At 38.0% G+C, this 9,299-nt stretch overlaps 1 long non-coding RNA gene across 1 annotated transcript; it reads left to right on the top strand.

Moving 5' to 3' along the window:
• The first annotated feature begins 4,127 nt into the window (after window positions 1–4,127).
• On the top strand, window positions 4,128–7,280 carry LOC107984374 (uncharacterized). Its single transcript, XR_001748082.2, has 2 exons — window positions 4,128–4,567; window positions 7,157–7,280. It is a non-coding gene; the product is annotated as an uncharacterized LOC107984374 (long non-coding RNA).
• Window positions 7,281–9,299: the final 2,019 nt, after the last annotated feature.

The raw sequence follows: 9,299 nt of genomic DNA, 5'->3' as shown, positions 1-9,299 counted from the left end.
AGCTACATCTCTAAATACAGGGCTCAGGGAGAACAACTAAGTGGGTCTGGAAAGACAGAGCTGGCACGTGCCACCCAGCTAAGTCACGTGGAACCCGAGTTGAAGCCTGTACCAGATTTGTCCTTTTTAGAAAGTGCCTCATTCGATTACTGCTCATGACTCTTAGATTTTGTAATTCAGTGACTTTGGTACCTCCATGTCTTTTGATCTATCTTGTAGATAAAGCTCAAGATTCATCTTGAATGAACCTATTTCTGATGACACTGGGAGGATTCAATCACTCTTTTCTTGTTTTTAGGACAAATAACATGTTTCCATTACAAATAACATGTTTCCATTACTTTATTATAACCAATGTCATCTTGCATTACAATTATTAGTTTACCCAGCATGTTATATTTTCCTTGATATCTCTGATGCCTAGGTATAGTAAGAAGTCAATACATTTTAGTTGGTTAAAAAATAAAAACAATAATGACCGCTTAATCTATGTTTTGATTTGTACATCTTTGCCATTGTGCTTCTCTTAATTACTGATCTGTTGATTTTTCATTTCACCTCTTAAATGTCAAATTCTATTAGTCATATGCACAATACACACTCATTTTTGTTTGTTTAACACTGGAACACATTCCATGTCTGTGTGAAGTTGGCAGGTTCTTATTTTAATACGCTGCCTCATAACCATCATCCTAATCTGAGTTGAGGGGGTGCATTTTGGCGATGGAGAAAAACATGTAAGTTGCAATTCTCAAATTATATTTGGCAGAATATGACGTTTCCTCCCTCTCAGTACCAAACCTGACAAAAATATCTGATCAAATTTCCAAAATAATTAAGGGTTTAAAAAGTCATGCAGACATGGTCCCAGCTTCAGCCTAAGCTGCACTCACCCCTGGGACTCAGACATGTCTGGGTTTGACCGGTTAGCAAGTAGAGCAAGCAGCTCCCTGGCATCTAGTGAAGGAATTCAATTGCATGTGGGAAAGAAGCCTCAGTAAAGGAGGATTGGTGAGAAGCACCAGGAGGACATCTGAGATCTTTTAAGTTCTCTGGGCCGGCATTAGCTGCTTCTATTTGAGCCCTATAGAAAGCAAAGTGCAGCTGTAAGATAAACTGTTTGAACAATTCCATTATTTCCTGGGAGACTCTGAAACACAACCAGTTCTACATTGGTTCTCTGGTGACAAAGTGAGGGAGAGGAGCCTTTTGTCTACATCTACGCTAAACCCGGCATAGCCTTGGTGTATTGAGAGCTCCACTCTGTATGGAGCAGGCATGCAGACTTTGTGATGAGAACATGGATACTCCATGGTGGGCACTGCCAGAGGGCAAGAGGGTGGTACTCTGAACTGGCTTATCAGGAAGCAGGTACTGACGAGGAGACTGGAACAGGAGAGGAAGAACCTTGCTGATGCCATGTGGCCACTGGAGCCCTAGGAATTGTTTGCAAGCTCAGGTGATACATCTCCAAGTCACTCCAAGGAACAACTGGATTAGACTATAGGATTAGACTTTGAAGCGTTAAAGAGGTTTTTGTGGAAGCAGGGGAAATGGCACTTGTGGAATTATTACTATTAATTTTGTACTCATTGTACTCACTTGTAGTCAAAGCCTGTAGAAATGTACCTTAAATTATTTGATGTAGATATGTATAGATATGTGTAGATTTTAAACTATCAATGAAAAAGTGGCAGGTTAGTTTACTCTGTCATCTACAAGTCCTTTTATTCACTTATACTTTCTTCCAAAAACATTATTTTCCCTTTCCTAGATGTCTCAAATTTGATATTTGTAAATATTCATCCATTTATTCACTAAATATCTTTTTTTTTCAAGAGTCTGTGAAATCTAGTGGGTATGCTATAAGATTCCAGATAAGACAGGTTGGGACTTGAACCCTGTCCTTGCTATTACTCACTGGGGGCTATCGTCAAGTTTCTTAATCTATCTGTGCCTCAGTTTTCTCATAAGTAAAATGGGAATCACACACACACATTCACATACACATATGCCCTTATTGAGTTGCTGCAAAAGTATAGATAATGTACTTATTTCAATGTCTGAATATAGTCAGTGCTTATTCATGTTAGCTTAAATAACCAACAGCAACATTATTATCTATTATGAACATGCAGGGCCTTGTGAGAAAACAGGAAAAAATGTCTCAGGGTCATTGTCAAGGAGTCCTTTTTATGCTCCGGTAAGAAAGGTAAGTCTTATAATTTTGGAACAGTCATGTTGTCATTGAAAGATGAGTTTTCTCTCTAGTATTCCTGCCCTAGTGTCAGTCCCCATTTTGGCTTTTGGGTGTGAAGAGTGGTTTGTCTTTTTTGCTGGTATCTTTTGTTCAGTGAAATAGTGAATATATACCTTTGTTCTGTTTACTTCCCATGGTTTTATTTTCTCTCATTAATGTTTTTCCTAAATTCCACTGCAAAAAAAAAAAAATGGCTGATAAAGATGGAGAAAAAAAGTCTAGAAAGAGGGATTTGTTTGTGTCTTCTCCTAGTAAAATTTTCAGCCCTTGGCGGTGGTGGACATTTTTCTCTCTTATCACATTCTCTGCAGTTGAGCTATTCCCACCAGAGACATATTCAGGACTGGACATTATTTTGATTTTAAAGAAGGGGTAATCATGAATTAATTATTAATTTCAATCATGAAGAAATGATGGTCAAAGAAGAAGTAATCAAAAGAGAACAGTAAATAAATAGAGGCTTCACACCCAGATTGTAGGATGGCTACAATCACAAAGACAGCAAATAACATGTGCTGGTGAAGATATGGAGAATGGAGAACCCTCATACCCTGCTGTTGGGGATGCTGAATGGGGAAGCCCCTTTGAAAGACAGCCAGAAAGTTCTTCAAAAGGTTAAATGCAGAGTGACCACATGACTCAGAAGTCACATTTCTAGATTTATACCCAGGTGAAATGAAAATATGTCTCCACCCAAAAGATTATAGCAACATTATTCATTATACACAAAAAGTGGAAACAGCTCAAATCTCCTTCAGGTGATAAATGGATAAATAAAATGTGGGTTATTCATATAATAGAACCTGATTCATCAATAAAAATAAATGGAGCACTGATGCATGCTATGGTGTGGATGTACAGCATGTATGAACATGAAAAACACTTTGCTCAGTGAAAGAAGGACGTCATACTGTATGATTCCATTTAAATAAAATGTCCAGAATAGGCAAATCAACAGGGACAGAAAGTAGATTCGTCGTTGCCAGGGCTGGAGTGGAAGGGACTGGGGGAAATGGGGAGGGACTGACATTGGGTGTGGGGTTTCTTTTTGGTGTCATGAAATGATCCAAAATTCACTGTGGTGGTGGGTAACTTTTCGAATATACTTAAATCATTGACTTGTACATTTTAAATGGGTGAATTGTATGGTATGTGAATTATATTTTAGTAACACTGAGCTTAAAAAAATAGACTGACACAATGTAGATAACTACCCCACCTATATTCCACCCCTAACTATAGTGAACTTTTATAAATAACCTTGAGATATAAAACTTTGCCCCTGGAAGAAAGGGAACATCTGTGTTACAAACACAAACATGGACAATTTCTTCAAGAAATAAAGGGAAATTAGAATTTTTTTAAAAACCTGCAATTCCAAGTTACATTTTTAAGAATTGCTATGCACTTTGACAAGTGCAGGACAGTTCCTCATCAACTATGCTGTGATCGTACAGTTTGCTGAAATATTTTCATTTCTAGCATATTATTATATTAAGAAAAGAAAGTGCTTTGTGAAATTGTTGAGACCAAGAAAAGCAGCCCTAGAGTGGCCTGGAGGGAAAACATTGGGTCTCTTTATGATATTACTCAAAGGCCTTTTAGATCCTGGAGAGGTGACAAAGTCACCCAGGAGAGTGAAGGATAACACAGTAAAAAGTCTTATGTAAAACTGAGACAGGGCTTTTCCTCTGGAAGAATCTTCAACTTCTGGTGCTAAGTCATCTTCCTATAGCTTCCCTGAAGCAGGAATTAGCATTGTAAACTCTTTCTAGACTGTAGGGTGAGTAAACTAGCCTCACCCAGTGAAGCTCTTGCAGAGACAAGAGCAGATGGCAGACATTCAAGCAGCAAGCCCTGGCTCCATCCACCTGCACCTTATGTGGCAGCAACTCTGGTCAGGGAGCACTCAAGAGGCTGTGGAAAGATGCAAGAGAAATAGGACATGTCCAGTGAATCATCCTGGCACACATATGAATGGTTTTTTAACTGTGAATCTGCTTATTTCCACACAAATAGCATAGGAACTGAGGGAATCAAATGAGAGCCACTGTCGCTCTGACAAAAAGAAAGAGAAAGGAAGAGAGACAGAGGAAGTAAGCGTTTGTTTCATATTTACTTCTTGAATATTCCCTAGTGCAAAGCACATGTATGTGATCCTGCTCTATGCTCATGAAATCCATGCATCATCTCTTATATTAATTTTACAGATGTGGAAACTCAAATAAAGAGAGGTGAAAGAGTCCCCAGGACAACACAAAAAGGTGACAGAGCCACTGAATTTAAATCCATACCCTCTAATTCAAGGTTAGTTCTCTTCTCTATAACTGCTGTTTCCAATAGTTTCATGGAAACCACAAAATATTTTCTAATTTACCCTAAATATTTTAAATATTTTCATGACATTCTTTACTCCAATGTATAGTTACCCTCTTTCCTGAATTCTTAAACTCTCATCACATTTACTTAAGTAGCCTGATATTTAATTTTTTTTTTTCAGTGAGATGGTAAGTCTCCAGGGTGAGAGCTGTGTTCAAGGTGCCCTTTTTTCATTCAAAATATCATGTGCACTTATTGATTCATAATAGGCATTCAATAAAAATTTGCTGAATCAAAAAGAAAAAGAAATCCAGATATTCTGTTTTATTTCCATTGTCCTCCTCCTTCTCATTTTGAGCTGTCTTCATGTTTCAGGCACTACGCTTAGCACAATTCATACCTTATCTCATTTAAACACAATTATTATCTGCTTTTTTTACTTAAGAAAACTGAGACACAAAGACATGGGGCTTATTTTCACAAGGCCACAGAGCTTGAGCGTTCATCAGCCTGATCCCAGAGCCCAACCTCTTAACCATTACAGGATTTTGTCTCAAGACCACCCATCAATGCGGTAATGGGATCTAAAGTTGAACCCAAGAGCTCTGGCTTTTTGGCTGCCAACCTCATCATTAACCCCTCCACCAGGGGAAATCAACCAGCCAAAAAGCTGTGCATTCTCTCCCCAGTATTTCCTTCCACCTAAGCCAGCATGGTATTCCCCAGAGTCACTTCCCACCCTGGCACACAAACCACAAGTAAAAAAACTGGAGCATCAAACACCAACATTAGCAGGATAAATACTCCATCTAATCATCCTACTAAATCATCAGACTGAGTCCCCAGAATTCTAATGCTCTTTCACTCCATTCCCTCTGCCTCTCTTGAGGCTTTAATTTGAGCCTTTCCCTCCCAACTAAAACCAGATATGTAAAGATGGTATTATATTTCTTCACAGCTAATAGCCAGACTATGAAATCATCCAGCAAGCAACTCCCAAGCCATGTGAATCAGTCGTAACACATTTCCTTCATTTTTATAACCCTGGAGATGGAAGAAGGGCCAGGAGGTAGATGAAGGGGAGGGTTATTGCCAGGTATTGTTAACTTTGTCCCTGGGTAATTGAAGTAAGAGCAGTCCAGGTCAGATTAGAAGCAAGATCTTGGAAAAGCTTGGATATAACAGGGACCTGGTAGACCCATATTGGATTGATTATGAAGCAGGAAGTGAAATCTGACATGCCTGACATTTAACACCCTAACCACATCCTGTCTCCTAGATGATGAGAATAAAGATATTGTATATTCAGTGGCACTGACATTTTTATGCCTCTTAACGAAAAGGGAAACAACTTTCTGGGACTGGTTGAAAGGATAAGGAAGCAGAGAACACCTTCACGGCCTTTAAGGAAGATAGGGGATTTGAGTAGGAAGTTGTATAAGGAAGGAAACATCAAGTCCTATATTTTGGGTGAATAAAGCAAACTAAGTTGCATCAGCCTGGGCAAAGAATGTTTTGAGTGAGGAAAATAAATGAAATAGCAATTGAAAACAGAAAAATCCAGTAATGATTTCTTTATTACCTGAAATACTTGAGATTTTTCAATGTTTTCACTCTCAACGTTTTCAACAATTTTCAGAACTAAAGGTATTTTAAAACTTGTATTAACTGTTGAAGGCTACTTGAGGATGCATAGGATTGAAGCACTGGTAGGTGTCTAGCTTAATAGCACATCTCAATAGCACATCTTGTATTTATATAATACAGCTTGAGGATTTCAACAGGTCTCTCAAAATGACCCCCTTCAGCAGCCCAGTCCACCTCCAAGTGCCCTCTTCTAAACAACTGAAAATAAGCAGGAAACAATTTCTTGTTATCGCTGGGAAAGAGATAGTTCTATTTCCCGAGTAATCGGTTTCCATGCATAAACAGCAAGAAAATATTCTTTTTGCCATTCTGAACCTAAATCACTCTTGCTGTAATTTATGATCATTTTCTCATATTCCATATTAAATAAAAGTGGAAAATAGCTCACTATTTCTTTTATTATAAGATTGTAGTTGACATCAGTAGATAATATCCATTCGACTGTATTCAGAGGAGTGGAAGGACAGGTGATTTTATCTAACATGGAACCATAGCCCCCAAATATGATGGAGCTGAGTAAAATCACTTGGTGGCCTGCCAGGAATGACACCACAGAAAATGTCATCAATGGTAATAGCAACAATAATATCTAGCTCCTCAACAGCATTTTATAATTTTGGAGAATATTTTCACATAAATCATCACATTTGATAGCCTTTTAAATTTTTATTTTAAAATGTATTTAACTTATTGAGAACTCTTACCTCACAATCATGCAAGCCACTTAAAATTTCCAGAAAGAAAACATAAATTTCCTATGAACTCAGCACTCTTCCCTGTTTGTCACTTTTGCTTTTGTTTCTCATGGATTTCATTCTTCTCTTCTCCAAAGTATTTCATCCTTATTTTGGTTCTTTCCTGTTCTCTTTTGCACACTCATCCGTCTGATTTCCAAGAACGTGATTCTCTTCTTTTATGTTTCCCCCCAAGGAAATGAAAGAAGAGTTTTGAAGAGACAGCTGCCCTCCATGCTCACGGCAGCATCATTCAAAACAGCTAAGATGAAGAAACAACTAAAAAAGTCTGTTGAGAAATGAATAAAGAAATACAATAATTTGTTTTTTTCTTCTTCCCACTTTCAACTTGTGAGACCCCATCACTGCCTTTTGGACTCTTGCTTCTTTTCTGATTCATGTTCCTGTTCACCATCACCTGCCCCACAGCACCCTCACAGGAAAAGAAAAAAAAAAGCCAAAACAAAACCGATCTCTTTGTTCACTGGATCAAAAGTCTTTTATTATAGTGCATTCAGACATTCAGAATACATATATGAGGCCTGCTATTCCTCACATGTTTGAGGGGAAGCAAGTAGTGTTTTTTACTTTTATTTTCTTTTGCCCTTGTTACTACCAAAACTACACACACACACACACACACACACACACACACACACACACCCTGTGTGCATGAATCTGCAGAAACTATTTTGTGAGTTCCTTTTACTATTTTACTGAGACATAGCATTAGTCTCACTTGTTGGTGGAAAATATTTGTATTTATCAAGGAACCTGACATCAGAAACCAGCTGGTCAATCTTACTTGCTTTCTAGTTGAGTCAACTCTATGTTGTTGAAAGGTCATAGGATTTGGGGAAAAAAAAGACAAAGATTTAGGCCAAAAAGACCTGTCACTCACTGGGACATGGATCAGACACTGAGTCCTCCCTGGGCACCAGTCATCTCTTCTGTGGAAGGGAAACCCTGCTTTCTGCACTGCCTCTCTCATGGTGATAAAAGGAATAATGGGATCGTGAATATAAATGCTTCATAAACTCTGAAGTTCTATAGGTTAAATTAAATAAGCTGGAGGCCACTAGCCTGAGTCTGTCTCCATACTTTGAGTTCCTACGTAGCAAAGTACAACCTAACTTAGCACTTAAACCTAACTTAGGAGTATAATAAACAGAAGTGTTTCAGCCAGTCACAGGCAGTCAACTCATCATACCGTACTCAAATAAGGCAGACATCTTAGCTGTGGCCAATAAAATGATTCTTCTACTTTACTTCTGTGTCTGCCAATAAAAGCTCGCTGCTCACTCTCCTAAAAAAAAAAAAAGCTCTCTGAACCTCTTCTGATTCTTAGAGTTGCCTGACGCCTGAATCATTTTTTGCTCATGTAAATTCTTTTAAATTTAATTTGCCTGAAGTTTTTCTTTTAACATATGCCTGAATATGATTCTTGATCATTTTTAAAGCCCCAAGTTTTAATTTGCAATGGTAGTATATCACAGTGGTCAGGAATATATAGACTTTGAAGGCAAAACGTCTGAGTTTATATCCAGGTTTTGCTGTTATAGTAGTGTGACCTTGCGCAAGTCATTACTTAACTTCTCTATGCCTCAGTTTTCTCATAATAATGGCACCTACATTAAAGGGTCATTATAATCCCATTACTAGTGGATATATGCAAAGTAGTTAGAAAAGTAGTAGGTACTTTATAAAGTCACCTGCTATTTTATTGTTGTTGTTAGTTTTTGTTATTTTATTTATTTTCATAATTTCATTTTTAACTTCTTTCTCTCCAAAGCACGAGCTAAAGATCTTTGTTGGCCTATGTTCAATGCCCACGTCTTCAGGACGGTTGGAGCTTCATCTTTATGGCTTACATTTTATGTTACTGATTCACACTTTCACTTCTGGGTGATTTTTCCTTATTGGTGTTCCTAGTGCCTTTGTTTTATTATTGTGAATGTGGTGTCATCTCCGGAAGACCAGATTGTGTTCAGCCTGCACACCATTTATCTCTTTAGCTTCTTTACTTCCCTCTTCTTCAGAATCTGACAGGTAAATTCTAATAGGAAAGCTTCAAACCCATAGAGATGGCTCTACATGAAGTGTTACTCATCAATCCCTCTGGTATTTTTTCACTGAAGCTTCGCTCATGGAGGTCTCCTGGTTTACAACACCTTCCTGTATTTCAGAAGCCTCTATGGCACAAAAGAGTTATGCATTGTCTTAGACAGAAAATAATTGTTTGATCAATCAGATCTTTGTGGATGAGCAACCTTTGATTTTTTCCTTTGGGCCTATTTTCCATTTTCCTTGAAGTTCACAGAAAACCAATCACCATCTCT

This window comes from Homo sapiens, chromosome 11 (genome assembly GCF_000001405.40).
Source record: "Homo sapiens chromosome 11, GRCh38.p14 Primary Assembly".
In the NCBI taxonomy this organism is placed as follows: Eukaryota; Metazoa; Chordata; class Mammalia; order Primates; family Hominidae; genus Homo; species Homo sapiens.
The sequence above is the reverse complement of the archived record's forward strand: the minus strand, read 5'-3'. Positions and strand labels throughout refer to the sequence as shown.